General features: G+C 51.5%; 1 protein-coding gene across 2 annotated transcripts, besides 9 other annotated features; it reads right to left on the bottom strand.

Moving 5' to 3' along the window:
- Positions 1–333: 333 nt before the first annotated feature.
- TRIB1 (tribbles pseudokinase 1) lies at positions 334–8379 on the bottom strand. Of its 2 annotated transcripts, none has more exons than NM_025195.4 (3): positions 7475–8379; positions 5128–5420; positions 334–2731 (listed from the first exon to the last, which is right to left on the bottom strand). In NM_025195.4, exons 1-3 carry the CDS (start codon positions 7832–7834, stop codon positions 2266–2268), a joined length of 1119 nt encoding a protein of 372 aa, NP_079471.1. In that variant the 5' UTR covers positions 7835–8379; the 3' UTR covers positions 334–2265. The 2 variants fall into 2 exon arrangements, with proteins under 2 accessions (NP_079471.1, NP_001269914.1); NM_001282985.2 differs by lacking the exon at positions 7475–8379 and adding an exon at positions 6413–6528.
- Positions 6617–6706: an enhancer, noted in NCBI's record as "active region_27915". NCBI's record gives its function as "activates an Ori minimal core promoter by ATAC-STARR-seq in GM12878 lymphoblastoid cells {active_cell/tissue: GM12878}" and the evidence as "EXISTENCE:reporter gene assay evidence [ECO:0000049][PMID:35858748]".
- Positions 7517–7856: a silencer, noted in NCBI's record as "silent region_19519". NCBI's record gives its function as "represses an Ori minimal core promoter by ATAC-STARR-seq in GM12878 lymphoblastoid cells {active_cell/tissue: GM12878}" and the evidence as "EXISTENCE:reporter gene assay evidence [ECO:0000049][PMID:35858748]".
- Positions 8177–8226: an enhancer, noted in NCBI's record as "active region_27914". NCBI's record gives its function as "activates an Ori minimal core promoter by ATAC-STARR-seq in GM12878 lymphoblastoid cells {active_cell/tissue: GM12878}" and the evidence as "EXISTENCE:reporter gene assay evidence [ECO:0000049][PMID:35858748]".
- Positions 8587–9206: a silencer, noted in NCBI's record as "silent region_19518". NCBI's record gives its function as "represses an Ori minimal core promoter by ATAC-STARR-seq in GM12878 lymphoblastoid cells {active_cell/tissue: GM12878}" and the evidence as "EXISTENCE:reporter gene assay evidence [ECO:0000049][PMID:35858748]".
- Positions 16381–16880: an enhancer, noted in NCBI's record as "H3K27ac hESC enhancer chr8:126434099-126434598 (GRCh37/hg19 assembly coordinates)". NCBI's record gives its function as "activates a minimal SCP1, AML or CMV promoter by ChIP-STARR-seq in naive H9 embryonic stem cells {active_cell/tissue: H9 hESC(naive)}" and the evidence as "EXISTENCE:reporter gene assay evidence [ECO:0000049][PMID:30033119]".
- Positions 16881–17382: an enhancer, noted in NCBI's record as "H3K27ac hESC enhancer chr8:126433597-126434098 (GRCh37/hg19 assembly coordinates)". NCBI's record gives its function as "activates a minimal SCP1, AML or CMV promoter by ChIP-STARR-seq in naive H9 embryonic stem cells {active_cell/tissue: H9 hESC(naive)}" and the evidence as "EXISTENCE:reporter gene assay evidence [ECO:0000049][PMID:30033119]".
- Positions 20625–20674: an enhancer, noted in NCBI's record as "active region_27913". NCBI's record gives its function as "activates an Ori minimal core promoter by ATAC-STARR-seq in GM12878 lymphoblastoid cells {active_cell/tissue: GM12878}" and the evidence as "EXISTENCE:reporter gene assay evidence [ECO:0000049][PMID:35858748]".
- Positions 21887–22784: an enhancer, noted in NCBI's record as "OCT4-NANOG-H3K27ac-H3K4me1 hESC enhancer chr8:126428195-126429092 (GRCh37/hg19 assembly coordinates)". NCBI's record gives its function as "activates a minimal SCP1, AML or CMV promoter by ChIP-STARR-seq in naive H9 embryonic stem cells {active_cell/tissue: H9 hESC(naive)}" and the evidence as "EXISTENCE:reporter gene assay evidence [ECO:0000049][PMID:30033119]".
- Positions 22785–23682: an enhancer, noted in NCBI's record as "OCT4-NANOG-H3K27ac-H3K4me1 hESC enhancer chr8:126427297-126428194 (GRCh37/hg19 assembly coordinates)". NCBI's record gives its function as "activates a minimal SCP1, AML or CMV promoter by ChIP-STARR-seq in naive and primed H9 embryonic stem cells {active_cell/tissue: H9 hESC(naive and primed)}" and the evidence as "EXISTENCE:reporter gene assay evidence [ECO:0000049][PMID:30033119]".

Here is a 24103-nt window from a genome sequence, read left to right as displayed (position 1 = left end):
GCTCACCTTCAAACGTTTCTTGATTCTGATTCTGCTATGAAAGAGTATAAAAAATAAAAAATGTTTCCCGAGTCTAAATTCAACCCAAAGCACGTATCAACACCCAATGGGCTTCATCCATCAAAATAAATTTGCCCACTGAAATGAGAAAAGCAAATGGGTTCAAGTCTGCCAAAGGTCATCGATGATCCTCATCATCTCTACTTTTCCACCTTCCCCTTGCTGCTCACCCCCAACTAGACTGTAAGTCCTGAGGCCAGAGACCTTTGCAACCTCTGCATGAAATTGCAAAAGGCAAAGCAGATGGAACTCGAAAGAAATTCACCACACCTATTTACGAAACCAGGTTTATTAAAATTTCTCTACAAGTCAGAAACGGCCATCTCACTGTTCACATATATACACGTATGTACAGGAAGAACCTAGTGTTTCTAGCTTTCCCGGCAGAAGGCCCTGCCAGCCCAGAGTCCTTAGTCGGATAATGTATCACAGATACAACAGTCGAGCAACCACGAGAGCGTTAGTGCGACAGAGGCCTCTGTCCTCCCTCTTCTCAAAGTCCCATGATTCTGTCAAGGTAATATTGCCAATAATCATTCACATTTCACGTGGTTTTAGACACGCAGGTTATTCAGACAGACACAGACAACAAAACAAGCCTCAAAGCCAGAACAAAACAAAACAAAACAAAATCGAACATAGGTATAAAAGGTAAAATATATGTACAAAGTACACAGTACGTGAGGTATACACGGCATTCTCACAATGCATGTTAGTAGTTTGCCTAGGCATAGCCCTTAAAGATGACTGCCTGTTTTTGTGCCATTTCTCAAAATACAGTATATTTTGTTTACCCGTTTAACCACCTGATTTCAGCACTGTCCAAGACAGTTACTGATATTTCATCTGAATTTGTTTTTTAATGAAAGTTGCAATTTCTCCATTAAGCTCCATCTTTTGTAGGGGAGTGAGTTTCCATCTCTGGACATATCTAACAGAGGCTGGATTCCCACCTACAAAAGAAGCTGAAGAGGGGATTTCTGCCTTGGGAGGTGGCAGAAAGAGGAAAGAGATTGGACCGGATGATTTTTAAAGTTCCTTCCAACTTTGAAGATTTGGGGTTTGCTGTTTCACTCCAGAAGCCGATTATACAGACGTATTCATAAACCACACATTTGAAATATTAACAACCCACCATGCAAAACTGCAGATGTACACACAATGCCAAAGGCGGACCATATCTGGGAGGGGTTAAAGTATAATTCTGGAAGTTAGTCTGAGAATCACAAGACTATCCAAAATTCACTCTCTTCAAAGCACAAAGATGTTTAATGTCTGCTCTTGGGAGAGGTGGGTGGGAGCCTCCTTATCTTTCTTCTCTTAGACAGAATGCTCCACCCTGAGATGGTCTTGGGGAAAAAGTAAAGGGTAGGTACTAACATATTTGGAAGGAACTTAAAAAGCTAATAGTTTCCAAGCACTCAAATTATTTTTTAAAATCTGGAGTCTCTCTGAGCTCAGAGTTCTGAAATCGTTGGGAGATGGAATCTTTTGTGATACTGTTCCACGTTCGGCTGGTAAGTGCTTTTATAGCTAAAGGGGGAAGTGTCAAGGTCAGGGAGAAGGCATTAGTGCAGATGAGGTCTTGGCAGGAAACAGAGAAGAGTCTCGGTTCATGGTTCCATCAGGCTCCTGAGCAACTTAAAACAGTCTGCTCCAAAAACGGAGCAGAGTCATTGGTAAATGTGAGTGTGAAGAAAGGGTGAGTGTTAAGCCAAAAAAGGAACTTTCCCATCAGAGAAGCTGCCGTAGCAGTCTAGCCACCAAAGATGAGTTCAAAGATGGCAGATTTATTGGCCCAATTTGTCACCCTGTGAAAAATACGGTTATTACTCAAAATATGTCATTGTGCGATTTGCTTTTTCTCCCATTCGAATGCTCAAGTTTATTACACACTTGACCACCGGGTGTAAGATGTCCATACTCTGCCCTCCACAAAAGATGCGGAACTCCCAAATCCAGCAGAGATAGTTGGTGAGGGTTCCTTAAGGGAAACAAATTTGCAGGGCAGCCAATCACAGCATATGCTGCTCAAATCAATAAAGTCACTCATCCCAACAGAGAAGAGGAGGCGCCATGCCGAGTTCAGCAGCTTTCATCCTGATGCAGTCATTATCTGGTTGGTACCACGCCAAAGGGCCTGTCCATCTTTAGAAATGGAAATGCCAGGTGTTAAGAATTATGAGGTTTCTGAGGTTTTGGGGATTAGCAGAAGAAGGAACTAATGTCACTGTCCTCCTGGTACTCTGGAACAATCTGGTCTGAAGTTCCTATTTCTGAGTCGATGTACCCGGGTTCCAAGACGGACTCAAACCAGGGGTGCAGTAGGATCTCGGGGGCAGTGAGTCTCTCGGAGGGCTCCCGTCTCAAGAGGCTGCGAATGAGGCACCTGGCTTTGGGGGAAATGTGCTCAGGAATGCAGAACTGTCCACGCCGAATTTTGGAGAAAAGGGCACTGGGGTCTGAGTCATGGAAGGGGTATCGTCCAACCAGAAGGGTGTAGAGCATCACCCCCAGGCTCCAAACGTCCGCAGCCTTTCCGGAGTAGGTCCCAGTGGTGTTGAGGATCTCAGGGCTCACGTAGGCTGGGCAGCCATGTTTGTCTGACAAAGCATCATCTTCCCCCTTCATTATGTGTGTGTCTTCTAGACTTTCTAGTCTAAGCTGGGTTCTGCAAGAGAGAGGAACCAAGCCATTATTTCCACACCAGCTGCTATGAAAAACAAAGCCTTCCCAATAACAGCGCCCACAGGCACTAACAGCAAAGGCTCCAGGAATGCTATTTACCCCTTCGTCCAGTAAGCAGTGCCCTGCAACTACCGAGGGCTCCTGATTTCACAAACTAACACGAACTGCAATAAATGTTTGCAAAGTATCGGCAGAGCGCCTGGGGTGGAGGGTATGAGGCAAAGCCCCAAATAGTATTCATAATGCTGGAGCTTACAAGAGATATCCTAATAGGAGTTACGCAATTTACTAAGTTCCCATTGCAGAACTGGGAGCCTGTCTCAGAATGCTGCATTCTCTACAAAAGCTAGCAGGGAAGAGCAGCATATCCTACTTCTTCAGAGAGGGCCTGAGCATCCTACGAACCCATCTTCCCTCTTATGACTGCCAGGGCTACCTGGACCCACACTGCATTACAGAACACGGAGCCCAAAGTCACTGCTATTACACACAGGTCATCAGCGCTGGTGCCCACACTGATACATGCACACAGAGCAAACTTTGTCCTCCTGGGCCCAGGCTGCAACAATTAGGATGGGAAAGTTGCAAGGAATGTTAATTACATTTATTGGGGTGTTTAACTGCAAAGAACACTTTGCCTGGACAGAGAGGTTATGCGAGCAAACAAAAGTGGCTGATGGATTTCAGGGACGCAGGGACCCTGAAATTCTTACACAGGGACACACACTCCCCCTGGGATGGCACATCAACATGTGAGCATATGTATTCTACAGGGGGGGTCTCTGTTCAGGTAACAACGAAAGTCTAAAACACCTTCAGTCAAAGGCTCTCTTATGAAGCTGCAGGTGCCTCCTTATTCAGAACCAGCCACCCAAGTCTCCTGGATCCCCCAAAGCTCAAAGCCATGTGGTGGGGAAGCTCTGATATCCAGTGACACCCTGTCTCTGCCTGCTTCTCTGAAATACCCGTTTCAGTAAGTCACTTGTGAAGTTAAATGCAAACATTTGGTACTGGCTGATGGGTCAATTCCTTTTCCTCTCAAAGGTCTGTTTTTTTTTTTTTCTGCCTTCCTGTTCCCTGGAGTGTAGTATACATGTGCTAACTTCAGTATGTCCTCAGCGTGACCTCCCTGTCGTTATGTAAAATACCCATTGGTTCTGTAAACGGAAAATATGACTCAACCCACACTGTCTGCCCCTGATTGGCTGCTACAGCACTAAAACCCTGCACCTGTGCTGGTTACACGAATAGCGTCAGCCTGACATTGCTTAACCCCCGGGTTGCCAAACCCCATGCCCATGATATTCGCCTGTGCAATGCAGATTTCAAAAGCTAGTAAGGAGGTGTGTAAGGCATGTTTCAGAAAATGCATCACCATATCAAAGGAGCATGTTCCAGGAATTAGAAACTTCTTCATTGCCAACAGTTTGCTTTTCTTTGCTAATCAGTGTGTTCCAATAATTATTGCGAGGTCAGATACAAAGTCATGCTTTATGACAGCTCAACCCTGTACTGTTTCATATGCTCTGGAGTCAAAGGTAAAAATGCACAGGTGAGATAAGCCCACTTCTTACAACAAACTAACTCACTCTCACCTCTACAATGTTACAGCCTTACTGCTTGTAATCTTTCCACAAGGGATGTGGCTGGCTCTTAAAATCAAGTGTGGTCTATCTCATGCGGCTTCCTGAATTCTCTAGCTGAAACCTCAGCTTTGAATCTTAATGCCTCATTACTCTCTTATCAAGCTCATCTTGTTCTTTATGAGGTAAGCTATGATCTATATTTAGCAATCCATCCTAACCAACTTCCATTTACTATTCAATGTGGCTATTTTCTGAAGACGGATCCAAACAAGCTGTCTAAAAAGTCACCAGAGAATGTGATGTTACAGAGAACCTGGACTGGGATGGGAGAGGAATGCTGTGTGAAACAAGAGGGTGGAATTCTGCATATATGACAGTCTCACTAGCTCTGTGAAACCTTCCAGGTACAAAACAGCACTTGGCATAAGCAAAGATTTGAACACTTCCTTCAGAAGGCAATATCGTAAAGGGCAGTTTAATATTTGTACCCCAGACAACTGACCTTTCTGACAACAATGGGGAATGAACCTGATCCTGGGGTAGGAGAGGAAGAGCACCCTGTCAACACTTGCCATCCCATAGAAGCGCCACGGTGTCCCCAGGCCCCGTCCAAGAGAATGCAGAATAAACCAACCTTGGCTGTGACTCCTCAGGAACAGAAGCTCTAAATACTAAATCTGGGACATATGAGCCCTTGACTTTGTTTTGCACCAACACACAGCACCTAACTACATGACCTGCACCTCCGCTTTGGTTCCAAAAGGCCACAGGAGAAGCTGTGGCGGCCGCTCACCTCTCCTCCGTGGAGAAGACGAACTTCCTAAGCTTCAGGTCCCCCAGCACGATGGCTGACTGGTGGCAGTGGGCGACGGCGGAGACAATCTGCTTGAAGAGCCGGGCGGCTTCCTCTTCCCGCAGCCTCTTCCGGCTTCGCACATAGGAGTGCATGTCCCCAAAGTCCTTCTCAAAGAAGACATAGGCCTTGGTTTCCCCAAGGATCACTTCCACAATGCCAGTAATGTTGCTGTGCGATGGCAGCTGGATGTAAGGCCTGATTTTGTCCTGGTAGTGTTTAATGGGAAACACCTGTAGAGAGAAGGGGGGCCCGTTTAGGGGGCTAGAAAAGCAAAGGCAGCCTCCCAAACCCCTGAGGGAGCTGAACAGAAGTTCTCAACCTGTGGGCTTAGGATGTGAGTAAGTTCCATTCACCTACTCCTTTCCTCTGCCACCTTACCTTACGCAGCCCCAGCTGCCCCTGACACCTTTAAAACCAGTAACACCTAAAGCTCTAGACTTGCAAATACCCAAAGGGTTACCCGCTTTCACACAGATGATTTGAAAGAACTGTCTCCTGTACATGTTCCCATCTTCTGTCAGCTCCTGAGAGCTAAGCAAACCCCCCACCCTCTGTGGCCCTTTCCTGTTTGCAGGCCACACTAGTTGAGTGGCTGATAGAAGGAAGCCCCTGGCCTGTCCAGGAGCTGAAAAGCAGTCCCTGGACGTGCATGTGCCTCCTGCAGACCCAAAGTGCTCAACACAGAAAGGGCACAGAATGTGGTGACTCTGCAGCCTCCAAGGGGAAGCAGGGGCCAGAGAACATGCAGAGCTGTCATTAATCAGAAGGAACAGATGACTTGGAGGGGGAGGCTGGGACAATGCAGCCTTAAGCAACCTGCCTACAGTCCGACTCAAGTGTAAGCAGCCTTGAGTTACAATTCTCACAGGAAGGGTATGGAATCCTGCGAATGGGTTTTCCACTTGTTTGTTTATCCCCCCACACCCGACCCCACCCCTAGAAATGAGTAGCATCTCCTCTCTTCTAGGAAGCTGGCTGGTCTCTTTAAAGGCCTTTTGTTCAGTCCAGTTACTCATATCCTAGACTCAACTGGAAACGGTGACACACGGGCTGTCACCATCTGGATTCAGCTATTATCTGCTCAGAGGAACTGGAAGGGGTTGCACAATGGCCAGACTCACCCCACCTCTAAGAGGCCTGGCTGCTCTGGCACCAGCTAGAAAAATCCCCTGCTGCCCCCTCCTCCCACCCCATCCCATCCCATCCCACCACACACACATACATGCTTGTCCCAGAACAGCTCTTAGCCCCAGTCATGGAGAAGAAAAGGTTTTTTTTTCCTCCCTATTAAACTGGGCTTGATCATGCGTCTGAAATTTCATTCGGGTTGGGCAGTAGGTGGCAGCAGCGAGCCCCGGGACGGGGTCGGGGTGTTGGGAGTGTCAGGTGAGTTGCGGAAAACCCAGAAGCGACTTAACTGGGGGGTGATCCTATCTTTCGGGTGAAAAGGAGCGGCCCGAGGGTGCTCTGGGGTGCCTCAAGCAGGGGTGCCACGCTCGCATAAAGTAGACTGTGGGAACGTTCTGCGTCTACCCGCGCAGGAGGAGGACCCGGCGGATCCTGTTTCTAGGAGCTGTGTCTCCTCCTCCTGGATGGGATCCCTATGTTCAAAGGAAAATCGCTGGCTGGAAAATAAAGTGAATCGAAGCGAGGGTTCCTGGCCGGTGTGGGCTTTTCAACATTTCTACTCCGAGCAGATTCCTCCGCCTCGGGTGGATGACTCTGGGACTGCTCCCTTGGGAGGGCGTGTTCTAGTCTCAGCGCGGATTCAATTCGGAATCCCCAAGGCAGGAGCCGGACACAGTCTTCCAGCCCCCTTACCACCTACAACTGAGCCCGGGTGCCGTGCAAGCCCGGCAAGAGAGCTGCCAGCTGCTCCAAGCTCCTAGGAGGCACCCACTAAAGGGCGTCCTTCCAGGACATTGGCGGGGGAGGGGGGGTGGAGAGCGAGGAGAATGAGAGAAGGGGAATGGCATGGCCCTGGAATCCATTTCAATTCCACAACTTATATGGAACGCCACGCGCTACACTGGGCGCTGAGGAAAGGAACAGATAGAGAAAGCCACTGAACACTGCACTTCCTCTAGGCGCCCCCATTATATCACTCCATGGGAAACCCCTCGATCCACAAAAACGTGAACCTGGTCAAATGGCGTCTTATCTGACCCAATCTACTGATCCGCCCTGTGCCCAGCCCAAGCGTTGGCCGGACCCCAAGCACCTTTGCCTACCACCCCGTCCCGCGCCCCCGACCCCAGCCGGGTCCTGGCCCGGGAGCGCCTACCTTGCAGCGCAGCTCGCGTCCAGTGTGGATGCACAGCGCCCGGGACACATGCTCGCGCTCGGCTAGGGGCAGCAGCAGGTAGTCGGCGATGCGGCTGGGCCCCGGCGCGCTCCCGGAGCCTCCGCCGGCCCCCGGAGCGGCAGGCGGGGGCTGCGGGCTGCAGGGCGAGCCGGGGGGGCTGAGGTAGTCCGGGGGGCTGGAGCACTCGGAGAGGCGCGGGCACTTGGCCGCCACAGCCGCCGCGTCGTCGGCGTCCAGCAGGCGTTTGGCCGGGACGCCTCGGGTGGCTGGGAAGAGCAGGGCCGGGCCGCGGGGCTGCGAGGCGCCGCTCATGGCAGAGCGCACCGGACCGACCCGCATCCCGTCCTGGGCCGGGGTGGCCCCGGCTTTTTAAGTCCCGGGATCCGCGCGGGAAGACGCTGCGGGTTTGGTGCCGGCTCCGCGACTTCTTCCAGCCGGCGGGATGGAGTTTGCAGACTGGTCTTGGCTCGGCCCCCACGAGGGGCAAAGCAGGAGCCACTCCCCGGCGCTCGCGTTGCACGCGGGGACCACGCTGGCTGTGCGTCCGGGAGGCGGAGGCCGGCTCGAGTCCCCGGACCCCCGCAGGCAAGGGCTCCCGGAGCCTCGCTGGGGGCGGCCGCCACTATTGTTGCCGAGGCTGCCGATAGTCCGGGAGGCAGAGGCGGCGGCGGCAGCGGTCAGCGATCCCGGGGTCCCGAGCCGCGAGGACAGGATTCAGCAGGCTCGGCGGAGCCACGAAGCAAATGCACTTCCCAAAGCGATGAGTCTCCAGCAAAAGCCGGGGGAACTTTTTCGCGGCGCTCGGGATCCTGAGCGCTCCTGGGCTCCGGGCGTGTATGAGAGCGAGCGAGACGCGCTCAGAGAGAGTGACTGTGAGTGAGTGTGAGCGCTGCACCGATCCCGGCCAGTGCACTCCTCCTTCTCCTTTTCCTCCACCTCCTCCGCCTCCTGGTGACTCACGCTGTATACACACACACTCACAGGCCGGGCTGTGTAAACAGTTGGGAAGCCGGGTTGTGCAATGAGGTGGCTGCGACGACTCCGGCCCCGCCGCCCAGCGAGCAGTCTCCGGAGCGGAGGGAGGAGACTGGGGGAAGGGGAGAGGGAGTAGGAGGTGGGGGGAATGGGGGTGGACTTAGGGCTGGGGATGCTCCGGGCAGCGCGCGCTCGGGCGCAGGTGGTGCGTCCCGGGCCGGCCTGGACGCGCGCACACGCCCCCAGGGCTGGGAGGGGCTGGGCAGGAGGCGGCGCGCGCGCCCTCCCGCAGGCCCCCAGCTCAGCGGAGAAGCCGAAGGAGGGGGCGGAGGAAAAGTTCCCGTGACGTAAGGGCCCGGGGAAGTGGGCGGGAGGGACGGGGCTGCGGGGAGCGAAGCGACCGCTGATTGGTGCGCGCGCCTCATTCACAGTAAGCACAATGGGCTGCGGGCGCGAGGCGGGAGCGCGCACCACGGTTCTCTGCACCCGCCGCTCGCTGCAGCCCCGCGGCGACGCCTTTCGCCCCGGGGATCCCCCCACCGCCCAGCGCCTGGGGAGCTCCGGTTGGAGCCGTGGGCGCCGCCGAGGCCCGGCTGCAGCCGGAGGAAGGAGGGGGATAGGGAGGTGATGAATTCCAGAATCAGTCATTCACCCCCACGCGGTAGTTCCGGGGAAGACCTGTGCGTGGTAGTGGATGTGGCTTTTTTTTTTCCCTTTTCCTGCCCCCTCCCAGCTCTAATCCCCAGCGTCTGTTCGCTTCCACAAATAGAACCTTCTGTTGGAGGAAATAAAAGCAAACACTGGGCCTTCTGCGCTGCCTCCACCTCCACGCCCCCCCAACCCCCCCGCGCCTGCCGCCCGCCCGGATTGCACGGAAATAGCTTCTCCAGGCTCCCGGGCCGCCCCTTCGCGGTGACTCGCAGAAAGAGCTTCCTGAGCCAGGGCCGGTGGGAAACAAAGGATGTGGGGAGCGGGCGGAAGGGGCCCACGTGGCTGCCGCCGGATTCCTACTCCCTCCCCAGCCTCCACACGCGCCGCAGGGTCTAGGGCCTGAGTGCCAACCTGGGTAGGTGGGTAGGCTGGTGGAAGTCATTCTGGCCACTGCCAGAGATACCGCCTGCACCCGGGCAGCCCTGCCTGGTGGTGCGCATGCATTCATTCCGTGTGATTTGGAAGAGCATCAAAGTTGCGCGTGAAACAACTTGGAATCTGTCATTTTTCTTTCTTGAGTGAACCAGGTCAGTTTGGAGTCCCTGGGCACCCAACAATATAACTATTATTAGAGAGCCCTTACTTGTCCTTCTGCTAAATACTTAATTTTCTAAAACCAGGTCGAGCCCCAGGAATAAATCATTTTCCTTATTAATTCTCCATTCATTCAACAAATACTAATTAAGCATCTACCAAGAGCTAAACGCTGGGAATTAGAAGGTGAAAATTAAAATAATAATAATAGCTAACATGAATCGAGGCCTACAATGTGTCGGACACTGTTCTTAGCACTTTATATGTATTACTTCAGTTTTCCAACCACACTATGGGGTTATTTTTTGCCCCATTTCACAGGGAAGAAACTGAAGCCTTAGAAGGATGAAGTTAGGCCAAGCGTGGTGGCTCACGCCTGTAATCCCAGCACTTTGGGAGGCTGAGGTGGGCAGATCACCTGAGGTCAGGAGTTCAAGACCAATCTGGCCAACATGGTGAAACCCCGTCTCTACTACAAGTACAAAAATTAGCTGGGTGTGGTGGCGCGCGCCTGTAATCCCAGCTGCTGGGGAGGCTGAGGTGGGAGAATCACTTGAACCTGGGAGACAGAGGTTGCAGTGAGCCGAGATCGTGCCACTGCACTCCAGCCTTGGGGAGAAAGCAAGACTTAGTCTCAAAAAATAAAAAATAATAATAATAATAATTTAAAAAAAGAACGAAAGATGAAGTTACTTGCTGCGGTTAAGTAGCTCATAAGGGGTGGTGCGGTCAAGCTCCTAAGCATTTATGGCGACTGGAAGGAGAGATTACAATTTGTAGGGGAAAACAGGAGTTAGGGAGGACTCTAGAAGGCATTTGACCTGGGAGATGTGCAGGGACTGTGAGGGAGTTGCTCAAGGGAGAGTATGAATGGTGGGAGGCCGGGCCAGACAAGGGGTGTGCGGAAGGGCAGGGCTAGCAGGCCAGAGAAACTACAAGGGTGGTGGGAGCTGAGCCTGCAGAGGTCTCCTGAGACAGTGTTGGGAAGGGCTTGAAAGCCATGTTGCACTTGGTCCTGTGCCCAGAGGAGAGCCCACCGAAGAGTTAGTTAGTTAGTTTGTTTGTTTGTTTGTTTGTTTGTTTGTTTTGAGACAGAGTCTCCCTCCATCGCCTAAGCTAGAGTGCAGTGACCCAATCTCGGCCCACTGCAACCTCTGCCTCCCGGGTTCAAGTGATTCTCCTGCCTCAGCCTCCCAGTAGCTGGGATTACAGGCGCCCGCCACCATGCCTGGGTAATTTTTTATTTGTAGTAGAGACGAGGTTTCACCATGTTGGCCAGGCCGGTCTTGAACTCCTGACTTTAAGTGATCCACCCACCTCAGCCTCCCAAAGTGCTGGGATTACAGGCTTGAGCCACCACGCCCGGCCCCACCTACATTTTTTTTGTCTTTGAAGATTATTCTGTGCCAGAATGTAAGATCCACTGAGCTGCCAGCACTTGAATGGCAAACTCAGCATGGCCCCTGAGCATCTTCCTCCCAGGTGTGTGCCTCCTTCTCTGCCTCTTCTGAGAGACAGGCATGCCACCATCCACCCAGCTCCGCCCACCCAGGGGCCAGGATCACAGGCACTCATCGTGGGTTCCCCTTTGAATCTGCCTTTTTCCTTTCTCCCACAGCCCACCCTAGACCTGTGAGCTCTCAGTGCCGGGCCCTACCCCGCACTGTTCAGCTCCCTGGGGCTGGCCCTCACCAGCTCTACTTCCCAGGCTCACTTGCCCATTGGCTTCCAGCCCAGTTTGCCCAGTGGGAGGCCCGGGAGGGAGATTAGAAGGCAGGAGGAAGAAGAGAATGCCCAGGCTACTATTTGCTTCAGGCAGCTGGCCACACCTCCTCTGGGGCTCCAGAGGAGACAGCCACTCCGCATGGCTGCTGCGATGTGCTCCCCAGATCCCGCTGCCCAACTGGAGGATCTGTTTCCCTGGCTGCTGGGAGTGCATATCAGGAGCTGTTTTGGAAATTGCCTTGACTGAGAAGAGCCACTTTGCCGGAGGTCACACTCCCTTCCCAAGGGTCCACATCCAGTGACTGCTGATCATGGAAGAATAAAGGTCCCCTTGTCCCAACTTGGGCCACCTGTCCAAGGCATCCCAGCTTCAGAGCTCCCAGATTTAGGCCTTCCTAAAATTGCATCACAGCCCAGCTTTTTCCTCTGCCCAATCCTGTTCCTTCCTCCCCCTCTTCCCACAGAATCCTCTTGCAGGCTGGCCTGCATCTCAGAGTCAGCTTCCTGGGGAGTTCAACCTGTGGCACCCCTTCTTCATGGTCCGAGCTCACTCCAGGGACTCTGGCTTCTGGGAGCAGGTGAAACCACCTTTGTCCCTCCAGCCGTAGGGTGGCAGCAGCTTCCAGATGTTGCTAATCTCTGGGTGGCCCCCAGCACCATGTTTTGTTCTGTTTTGTTTCTGCCCTTTCTATGCCTTTGTAACTAGTTTTCTACATAAATTCTATCCACTGAACTTCCTGGCCTGAGTTCCATTTTCCTGCCCAGACCCTGTCTAATAGAAACCTTCTCCCTTTCCCACGTTCGGCCCTCTCCCCACTCCCATAATCCTAGTTCACAACCTTCCCCTGGATTCCTGCAGTAAGTTCTCAATGGAGCCACTCATTCATCCCTTCAACAAACATTGAGCCCCTACTTGGTGTCAGCACCCACTAAGTGCTGGAGACACAGTGATGCACAAAACACAGTATGTCGTGTATCCCCTTGATCCATCCCCCACACAGCTGTGGAGTCACTTTCCTAAAATCCAAATGTGATCACGCAAGGCACTGACCTAAAACCTTGCAGGGACCCCACCCCCAGATAAAATCCAAACACCACAGTATGGAAAAGTAGGCCCTCTTCCAAGCCCCATTTCCCTTCCGAGCCTCACCTTCCAGGCCCACTTCCCTTCCAAGCCTCACCTTTCTTGCCTCCTCCCCTCTGTCCTACCCATGCCAGCTCCTGGCAGGGCCCCAAACTGATCTATCTGCCAATTCACATCTCTGCACTTCAGCCTGCGCTGTTCCCTCCCACTGGAATTCCCTCTCTTCCTTTTCCAAGGAAAGGAACTCTTACTCATCCTTCAAAACACCATCCGGATTTCCCCAGCGCCTGCACTCAGATCTCAGTGTCCTACCAAATGCTGTCGAGTCCTCTGTCCAACTATCTCTCGTGACCCTTTCCACGCAACTGTGTTCCCAGAGGGCAGGGGTTGTGTCTTGTTCATTCGTGTTCATCCAGCCCCCAGCCCAGTGTCCGTTATAAAAGAGGGACTTAGGCCAAGCACAGTGGCTCACGCCTATAATCCCAGCACTCTGGAAAGGCCGGGCAGGTGGATCACTTGAGGTCGGGAGTTTGAGACCAGCCTGGCCAACATGGTGAAATCCCGTCTTCACTAAAAATACAAAAATTAGCCAAGCGTGGTGGCAGGCACCTGTAGTCCCAGCTACTCTGGAGGCTGGAGCACGAGAATCGCTTGAACCCGGGGAGCACAGGTTGTGGTGAGCTGAGATTGTGCCACTGCACTCCAGCCTGGGCAACAGAGCAAGACTCCATCTCAAAAAAAAAAAAAAAAAGAGGGGGCTTAGTAAGTGTCAACCAAATAAATGCACTCCAGGGCAGAGGGTCACCCACAAGGAGAGCCTGAGATGACAGATGGAGAGGAAACACTGGACTTCAGACAGAGACAGGGGCTGGAGAGCAGGGCACAGATTTCGGAGTTAGACGTCTGGCCCTGGAGAGGTAATGGGAGGTGGAGTGTCGGGGAAAGCAGGGGCTTGTGGGGCTCCCAGCCTGCATGCCGGGGAAGATGAACATGGACCTTTGGCAAGGCCTGAGATAAGGCAGGCCGAGGCACAAGGCAGCTAAAATTGTCTTGATTTCTTTGCGGAGGGCTTCCCTACTGGTAAAATCTGGACTGAAATTCCCTCAGACTTTTCAGATACTCACTTGAGGAAGCCAGTGGCTCTTAATGAGCCTCGGTTGTCTCACCTGTGAAATGGGCGTAATAAAGGCCTGGTTTTCCTCTCCTACACAGTTTAGTTTTGTTTAGTTTTGTTGTGGAGATGGGGTTTCATCATGTTGCCCAGGTTGGTCTCGAACTCCTGGGCTCAAGCAGTCCTCCAGCCTCAGCCTCCTAAAGTGCTGGGATTACAGGTGCGAGCCACTGAGCCTGGCCTCCTCCCCTACACAGTTCTTAATGGAAATGAGGAAGTATAAATATGTGGAAAGTACTTTTGGATCATCCAGCCAGACCCAAATGTGGGAGATTATCAGGTATGGGTGTGCCTTGATTTTGAACAGTATTCATTTAGTCAACAAATATTCATTAAGGACTTGCTATATGTGAGAATTGAAAAAAAAAACAAAAAGACCGTACTATGAAACTCCAAATCGACAAATACAAATATCTAAATAAATAGGATGGTAATTAGGAAGTCATTCTTCCCATATTAAAGGGTCTCTACCAAGCGATGCCATCCACAAGCTCCTCTGGTGCATTTATGATGAGGCCTGAAAGCCAGAATCACCACTGATCGTGCATGCGTGTGTGTCCTGCGTAGCCTCGGCATGATGCTCAGCTTGATGCTGGATGCTCAGTACATGGTCAGCTGTGAGAAAATTGATTTAACTCTGACTTTTCAGGAGCTCACATATTACATAACATGGGGAAACCTGTATCGATTTTTTTGGACAAGGTTAGGCTGCTGATGACCTCTGGCTTGATTCATTTTCATTCATGCCAAGGTAGATGCATGGCAGCAACGTTAGGAAGGCTCTGAGTGTTCTACCCATTCTAAAATGGAAATCCTTAGAGGCCAGGGCCCCCAGTTTCCATCTCCCTGTCTCACGGCACATGAGGCTTTGTAGCCACACACAGAGGGTATGCGTCCAGTGCATTATGCTCCCTGACCTTACATTCTAAAAAATAAAATGAATTAAAAAGTTTGGGGGCTGGGCGCAGTGGCCCACTCCTATAATCCCAGCACTTTGGGAGGCTGAGGCAGGCAGATCACTTGAGGACAGGAGTTCGAGACCAGCCTGGACAACATGGCGAAAGCCCATCTCTACTAAAAATACAAAAACATTAGCCGGGCGTGGTGGTGCATGCCTGTTGTTCCAGCTACTCAGGAGGCTGGGGCATGAGAATCATTTGAACCTGGGAGGCAGAGATTACAGTGATCCAAGATTGCACCACTACACTCCAGCCTGGGTGACAGAGCAAGACTCTGTTTTAAAAAAAAAAAAAAAGGAACATATTTAGGGAAGACAATATATCAAAAGTTAGGAAAGACAAAAACATGTATTGTGTTCCTGCCAATTCTAGACACTTTCCTGTTGTTTAATTTAATGTTTAAACAATCATGGAAAATAGTTATTGAGCTGGATGCAGTGGCACGCACGTGTAGTCCCAGCTACTCGGGAGGCTGAGGCAAGAGGATCACTTCAGCCCAGGAGTTCAAATCTAGCCTGGGAAATGTAGCAAGACCTTTTTTTAAAAAAAAAAAAAAAATCCTGGGCGGGGTGGCTCTTACCTGTAATCTCAGCACTTTGGGAGGCCGGGGCGGGCAGATCACTTGAGGTCAGGAGTTTGAGACCAGCCTGGCCAACATGGCAAAACCCCATCTCTACTAAAAATACAAAAAGTAGCCAAGCATGGTGGCAAGCAACTGTAGTCCCAGCTGCTCAGGAGGCTGAGGCAGGAGAATCGCTTGAACCCAGGAGGCGGAGGTTGCAGTGAGCCAAGATCATGCTGCTGCACTCCAGCCTGGGTGCCAAAATGAGACTCCATCTCAAAAAAAAAAAAAAATTGTTATTACCACCATTTGTACAGATGCACAAACAGGCTCAGAGAAGCTGATTAATTTGTCTAAGGTCACACAGCCAGAAGGTGGCAAAGTTGAATTGAACCCTCTTAGGGCTGAATCCTAGCCATGGCTTTTCTGCTTTATACATTGCCTCAATCTCCTAATGAAGAAAAATTCTATCCAAACATTTCTCTTTCTTTAAGAGCACAGGAAGCCTTAGATTTGCATAGGCCTAACATCTGTGGAGTCCTGAACAAGAGTATAAACAGAGGCTTCTGATCTGTGACCTGTTTTCCCTTATCTTCCCTCCTGAGCTTCTCTTCCCTCCTTCAGTCCTCACCATGTAGGGCCTCCACGGCCTGCCCTGGAGATCCTAGATGACACATCCAAACCTGATCCCCACACACACCCCACACACACCCCACACACACACCCCACACACACCCCACACACACACCCCACACACACCCCACACACACAGCCCACACACACACCCCACACACACACCCCACACACACACCCCACACACACCCCACACACACACCACACACACCCCACACACACCCCACACACACCCCACACACACCCCACACACACCCCACACACACACCCCACACACACCCCTTGGCCCTTCCTTGACCACCCATAGGCCTAGAGGTCCACACAGCAGAGTCAACAGGTTGTCTTGGGAAAATGGGACCCAGGAAAAAGACTCCTGAGTCCCAAACGCATGTTCCAAACCATTAGGGCAGGGAATCCCAGGGTCCTAGGTACCTGGAATTGGGTCTGGAAGGGCAGGCACAGGCTCTGTGTAGGCCCCGGCCCTTGCTCAGTGGAAAGGATACTCCTGGAGGACCAGCGAGGGCCTGGATTGTCCAGGTCTAAGGGAGGTACTGGTTTGCCAGGAGGGATTCCAGAGCACTTTGCCAAGGCCCTCTCTCCTCCCTCCTCACATGCACGTTACGGTCTCTTACTTGTAAAATGTTTTTTGTTTGTTTTTTTTTTTTGAGACGAGGTCTTGCTCTGTCGCCCAGGCTGGAGTGCAATGGCCCGATCTCGGCTCACTGCAACCTCTGCCTCCTGGGTTCAAGCAAGTCTCCTGCCTCAGCCTCCCAAGTAGCTGGGACTACAGGCACGAGCCGCCATGCCCGGCTAATTTTTTGTATTTTTAGTAGAGATGGGGTTTCACCGCATTAGCCAGGATGGTCTCGATCTCCTGACCTCATGATCCGCCCACCTCAGCCTCCCAAAGTGCTGGGATTACAGGCATGAGCCACCACGCCCAGCGTAAAATGTTTTTTGTTTGCTTGTTTTTGTTTTTTTTGTGTGTGTGGCAGGGTCTCACCCTGTCACCTCGGCTGGAGTGCTGTGATGAGATCTCAGCTCCCTGCAACCTCTGCCTTCCGGTTTCAAGCGATTGTCCTGCCTCAGCCTCCCGAGTAGCTGGGATTACAGGCGTGCGCCAGCATGCCCAGCTATTTTTTGTATTTTTAGTAAAGATGGGTTTTTGCCATGTTGTCCAGGCTGGTCTTGAACTCCTGGACTCAAGCAATCCGCCCACCTCAGCCTCCCAAAGTGTTGAGATTACAGGTGTGAGCCACCACTCCTGACCCTTGTAAAATGTTCTTCTTGATCAGATCTGTAATTAGTACAATCCCTGCCCTCCAAGGAACGAGCCATAGTGAGAAAGGCACATTAACAGAAACATAGACAAATAGCTACCTACAGTCTAGTGCTGAGAAGGAAGAGAATCACTTAGCAGGGAGAAGAAGGAAGGATCAGGAGAGACCTCCTAGAAGAGCTGGACTTGGAGGGCCATGGACAGTCTATCACTTGTCTCCATGCATGGCTGGTCCAGTGTTTGCAGGCATTGTAGGGGTGGCCAGACTGGAAGCTTCTGAAGGTCAGAGCTGGGGGTTTCCTGGATCCAGGGGCAAACATAGCACCATGCCTGCCTGCCTTGGGTCAAATGCTGACACACCCTTCATGTCTTTCTGAGTTATTTTGCTGCAACTTTCTTTCTTTCTTTCTTTTTTTTTTTTTTTTGAGACGGAGTTTCACTCTTGTTGCCCAGGCTGGAGTGCAGTGACGCGATCTCAGCTCACTGCAACCTCCGCCTACCGGGTTCAAGCGATTCTCCTGCCTCAGCCTCCCTAGTAGCTGGGATTACAGGCGCTCGCCACCATGCCCAGCTAATTTTTTGTATTTTTAGTAGAGAAGGGGTTTCACCATGTTGGCCAGGCTGGTCTCGAACTCCTGCCTCAGGTGATCTACCTGCCTCGGCCTCCCAAAGTGCTGGGATTACAGGTGTGAGTCACTGCTCCCAGCTGTTTTTCTCCTTTTTGAATGAAGCTGTTGAACTGGTGATGTTCACGCTGAGTTCCCTGCAACCTTAAGGTTACTATGGTGGCATCTGGGGAGAGAGCGGGTAGCTAATGTGAGTCTCTGAGCTACCCATGCCAGCTTTCGCCAAATGTTCTAGATGATGCTTGTTCTGTAAGATCTTGCTGGAGAAAAGGCTTCCACCGCTCCTGAGTAAAAAAATGAAAACCACTGACCTTAGTGGTTTCGGTGATCTCTGAGGTCCCATTCATCTCTGACACTAATTCTTTTATTTAATATCAGGAATCATGAGCCAGGAACCCACAGGGCAAATCCAGTCTTAGGCCACGTTTGTTAGCCCATCTCAGTGTTGGCAATTCTTTGGGGAGTGAGGCATGCACTGTCTAGTTCACCACAGCCCCCACCACTCCTTACTGTCTAACATCCACCACATCACATTTAGGTTAGCAGCCTGGACCCTGGAGACCTTTGAGTTTACTCCCCAAAAATGCTCCCCTGAGACCCTCCCTTCCTGGGAGACCCTCCAGATAGCAGAAAAGGGGTCCAGAGCCTGGAAACAGATGTCCCCCAACCAAGGGAGAGGACAAAAGGGGAGCAGGGTGTTTTAGGTATAAGGGGTGCCTCCTTTCTTCCTATCTGCCCCACCCAGAAGACCCCTGTGATCATTTTATTTTTTATTTATTTATTTATTTATTTATTGAGACAGGATCTTGCTCTGTTGCCCAAGCTGGAGTGCAGTGGCACAATCTTAGCTCACTGCAACCTCTGTGTCCCAGGTTCAAGCGATCCTTCCCTTTCAGCCTCCCAAGTAACTAGGACTACAGGCACATCCCAGCACACCTGGCTAATATTTTGTATTTTTAGTAGAGATGGGGTTTCACCATGTTGGCCAGGCTGGTCTTGAACTCCTGACCTCAAGTGATCCTCTTGCCTCGGCCTCCCAAAGTGCTGAGATTACAGGCGTGAGCCACCGTGCCCAGCCCCACTGTGATAGTTTTAAAAATACTGTTGCAAATTCTTTGCCACTTTTCCCATCAAAAGGCGGGAGTCTCTTGAATCTGGGTGGCCTTATGACTGCCTTAACCAATGTCACAATGAAAGTGACACTCTGAGACTTTCCAGCTTGGGTCATAAAAACCATGCAGCCTCTGCCTGGTTCCATTGGACACTGGCAGTTGCAGCTCTGAGCAGCCAGGTAAGAATCCCCTCTCCCCTGAGAACATGATGCTGGAGAGGCCACAGGGAGCCCCTCCAGATGACAGACTCAGCTGAGCCCGTCCCACAGCTGTCCCAGCCCAGGTACCACACAGGGGGTGAGGAAGCCACCCTAGGGGTGAATGCTCCAGCTTCAGATACCACAGAGCAGACAAGCGCCATCCTCACCCCACCCCGGGCTCCCCCGCCCCTTGTCCTGTGTGGCCTGACCCACAGAACGGCTTTATGCCCCAAGTTTAGGAGTGGTTTGTTACACTTCTAGCCATAGACAACCAGAACAACATTCTGGAACTGTTCCAGATGAGTCAGGAAGTCCAACAGGCAGAGCCTCTTCAGCCCATAGGACACCTTTCAGTGCTAGCTAGAAAAGGGTGCCCTACCCTCTGGATGGGTTGCAGCAGGGCACAGGTAGCCCCCACAGCAGAGCAGAGGGCTTGGCCAGCGGAGAGCAGGCTGGATTTCAGCCCTGTACAACCACATGCAAGAGGGCCCTGCCGACCCGAGATGCCCTCTTCTGTCCTGCATGGATCAGTGTGAGCTGAGCTGAAAGGAAAAAAGTCATTTTCTAAACACTCATACAATTGCCCTGCAATCCCAGTGAGCATCTCCCAAGTCTCAGGAAGGTCCCTGTGCTCAGACCTTACAAGCTCTGCTGCACCAGTGAGTCATCTCGGTACAGAAAGCACTCACCAAAAACATAGACATTGCCAGGCGCGGTGGCTCACACCTGTAATCCCAGCACTTTGGGAGGCCAAGGTGGGCGGATCACAAGGCCAAGAGATCGAGACCATCCTGCCCAACATGGTGAAACCCCGTCTCTACTAAAAATACAAAAATTAGCTAGGTGTGGTGGTGCACACCAGTAGTCCCAGCTACTTGGGAGGCTGAGGCAGGAGAATCACTTGAACCCGGGAGGCGGAGGTTGCAGTGAGCCGAGATCATCATGCCACTGCACTTCAGCCTGAAGACAGAGTGAGACTCTGCCTAAAAAAAAAAGTGGCCAGGCACAGTGGCTCACGCCTGTAATCCCAGCACTTTGGGAGGCCGAGGCAGGTGAATCACGAGGTCAGGAGTTCGAGACCATCCTGGCCAACATGGTGAAACCCCGTCTCAACTAAAAATACAAAAAATTAGCTGGGCATAGTGGCGGGTGCCTGTAATCCCAGCTACTCATGAGGCTGAGGCAGGAGAATCGCTTGAACCCAGGAGGCGGAGGTTGCAGTGAGCCGAGATCAGGCCACTGCACTCCAGCCCTGGTGACACAGTGAGACTCCGTCTCAAAACTAAATAAATAAATAAATATAACAAAACAGAAAACAAACAAAAAACATATACATACACACACGCATATCCACAAGTTGTTTTTTCCTTTTTCTTATTAAAAAAAAAAAAGAAGAAGAAGAAGAAGTCCCCACCTTACCATGATCTGATCCAAGTTCTGCAGGCTATTTTGAAGTAATTCATCTTTCCCCTTCAAACAGACCATTTTCCCTCACTCAGCCCGCCAAGACTGTCTCCTTTCATTCTTGAACAAAGCTAGCCCCAAGCACAGGACCGTTTGGTTTCTGGGGTTTCCATTTAAAAATACTCTCAGCCAGTGGCTCTTCTGCAATATTCGTGAGGAGTGCTGCAGACCGTGAACTGAAAGATGAAGTGGGCCAGGGCCAAATCATGCCAGATCACCAAGCGTCTGAGGCATAGAAGTCTTTTCTCCTCTGGGTTGAGTAATGGCCACTGTGAGCTCAGAAGCCACAGACTGTGTTCACAGACGCTATACCTCACTTTATGCAAACCTGGTAGACAAAAATCTGGCTTTCTGTGAAAGAATGCAGAGGTGGAGTTGTCCACACAGCCTGTGGGTTCAGGCAGCCTCCTTCGTTGGGAGGATGTGTGGTCATAGATTATTTGTCTTTGTTGAGGAAAGGAACCCACCGATGCTGAGCACTGACTCAATGTCACTTGCTGTACTTTGTATACATTATCTCATCCATCCTCGAAACAGCCCTGCAAGTGGTTACTATTATCTCCATTTTCCAGCTGAGGAAAGGGAGGCTCAGAGAGGCTGAGTCACTTTCTCAAGGTCACACAGCTAAAAAGACTGGGAGCCAGTGGGCCGGACGCAGTGGCTCATACTGTAATCCCAGCACTTTGGGAGGCTGAGGCGAGAGGATCCCTCAAGTCCAGGAGTTTAAGACCAACCTGGGCAACATAGTGAGACCCCCCCCTCCCCCGTTGCTACAAAAAAATTAAAAATTAGCAGGGCGTGGTGGCACACGCCTGTAGTCCCAGCTACTCAGGAGGCTAGGGTGGGAGGATCAGTTGAGCCTGGGAGGTCGAGGATGCAGTGAGCCATGATCATGCTACTGCACTCCAGCCTGGGCAATAGCAAGACCCTGTTTCAAAAAATAAATAAATACAAATAAAAGACTGGAAGTCAGGATTCAAGCAAACCCCAGGTTGGCCCATAGCAAGACACTTGTATTTCCCTCTCCCCTCTCTCCACTTCCTTCCCAGGCTTGCTTTCTCTTTGCTCCACTCCTTAGGAAACTGCCCCGCAAGAGCCTCTGCCTAAGCACTGCTTAAGTGAGATTACATATGGCCTCACCCGTGGGTTGGAGGGAGGGCTTACCTAGCTCACATACAACACAATTCAATTGATCAAAACTTGTTTGTATAAGACCTTTTGTGTATTGGGACAAACCTGGACCGGGCTCTGGAAGGGATCCTTGTCCTTGGGCCAGAGTCATTTGTCCTTTGGCCCACATTTATTGAGCTTCTATTGTGTGCCAAGCATCATATTCCACACCGGCAGTAGAGAAGTAAACAGCAGCCCTGTTCTCTGTGAACTCATGCCGGAATGGAAAAGGAAGGGCACAGAGAATCGTAGGATGAGAAGAATGAAATGGATCCCAGAAGAGGGACACAAGAGAGGTCAGTTCTGCCAGAAAGCCCCCCATGGACCAGCCCCTGGAACGTGAGGTTGTCGTTGTTGAGAGTGGAGCCATGTCCAAGAAAGATTCACTTGAACCAGCTCCTGGAATTTGATAGACAGCAAGAATCGCATTGAGACAGGCAGCCATCCGGCAGGCCAGGATGTACGCATCAGCCGATCAATGAAAACATTCACTTTGCCCAGATGAGCCACCCACAGGAAGCCACATTATCAGAAAGTTAATTGTACCAACGGAATCTGCAAATGTGGCGGATATTGGGAAGTATTTTGTAGCCAGGGTAGCTTGAAGCCATCTCTGTCTCTAAAGGGAAAGTCATCCTAGGATACAGTTCTGGCTAAGTTAGCGCTGGCAAGAATCCCTCCACTCTACAGAGCACAGATGGTGTATTAGTTAAAGCACAGCTCTGCTGCGGTAACAAAGAAAGCCCCCAAAAAAGTGGTTTAAGGGATGCAAAAGTCTGTTTCACCCCCCTGTCACTTTCTGAGGGGACCATTCCCAATTGCTGGAATTTAGGGATGTAGTCTCTTTCCATGTTATGGCTCCAGCATCCCATTCGCACCATCAAGCCCAGGTCTCAGCCACATCCAGGTCCCAGTTGGCTGGCAGAGGACGAGAGCATGAGGGAGGCACGCCCACTTGGCCTGGCAATGGCACGGACAGCCTCCACTCACATTTACATTTCTCATCCAATGAAAAGGCCAGCTGGGAAGTGAGCCCAGGAAGATGCAGAGAGCAGGTGTAGGTGGACCCCTACCTGTCTCTGCTTCCGATGGCAGTTGTGATGTTTGCAGGTGTAACCAAAACCTCCACTTAAAGGGCCAGGCCCGGGGGCTCATGCCTGTAATTCCAGCACTTCAGGAGGCCGAGGTGGGGCGGATTGCCTGAGCTCAGCAATTCAAGACCAGCCCGGACAACATGGTGAAATCCCGTCTCTACTAAAAATACAAAAATTAGCCAGGCGTGGTGGTGCGCGCCTGTGGTCCCAGCTACTCAGGAGGTTGAGGCAGGAGAATCGCTTGAACCCAGGAGGTGGAGTGAATGTCATTGCACTCCAGCCTGCACAACAGAGTGAGACTCTGTCAAAAAAAAAAAAAAAAAAAAAAAAACCTTCATTTAAACCAGCTTAAACCCACAGGACAGCTTGGAGGAGGCTTCAGGGTCTACTAATTCACCACCTCATCTCCAGTGGGTCAGCTCCCCACTCAGGCAGGCCTCAGCTTGGCTGCAGTGGGTCCAGTATCAAATCTCAACATGACAACATTCAAAGAAGGAGGAGAGCGCTCTTTCTGTGCTTTCCCTTAGGAAAGAAGAGTTTCCCCAGAGGCAAGCCAGCACTCCCCTCCAGCGGACAAAATTAGCCGGGCATGGTGGTGGGCACCTGTAATCCCAGCTACTAGAGAGGCTGAGGCGGGAGAATGGCTTGAACCCGGGAGGCGGAGGCTGCAGTGAGCCAAAACCTTCCCACTGCTCACACCTGTAATCCCAGCACTTTGGCCAGATGTGGGTCACATGCCCATGTCTGAGCCAGTTACTGGAGCAATGGGCTGAATCGTGCCCCGCCCCGACATTCATATGGTGAAGTCCTAAGCCCCAGGGTGACTACATTTGGAGATAGGGCCTTCAAAGAGGTAAAGTAAAATGAGGTCATCTGGGTGGGCCCTAATCTAATCTGACTGATGTCCTTAGTAAAAAAAAAAAAAAAAGAAAAAAAAAGGGTGATTAGGACACAGACAACAACACACACTGAGGGATGACCCTGGGAGGACACAGGGAGAAGATGCCACCAACAAGCCAAGAAGAGAGACCTGAGAATTAACCAACCCTGGCCAGGTGTGGCGGCTCTACGCCTGTAATCCCAGCACTTTGGGAGGCCGAGGCGGGCGGAACGCTTGAGTCCTGGAGTTTGAGACCAGTCTGGGCAACATGGAGAAATCCTGTCTCTACTAAAAATACAAAAAATCAGCCTGGCATGGTGGTGGGCGCCTGTAATCCCAGCTACTGGGGAGGCTGAGGCAGGAGACTCTCTTGAACCTGGGAGCCGGAGGTTGCGGTGAGCCGAGATCACGCCATTGCACTCCAGCCTG

This window comes from Homo sapiens, chromosome 8 (assembly GCF_000001405.40).
Source record: "Homo sapiens chromosome 8, GRCh38.p14 Primary Assembly".
In the NCBI taxonomy this organism is placed as follows: Eukaryota; Metazoa; Chordata; class Mammalia; order Primates; family Hominidae; genus Homo; species Homo sapiens.
Note: the sequence above shows the minus strand (reverse complement) of the source record. Positions and strands in the feature narration are given on the sequence as shown.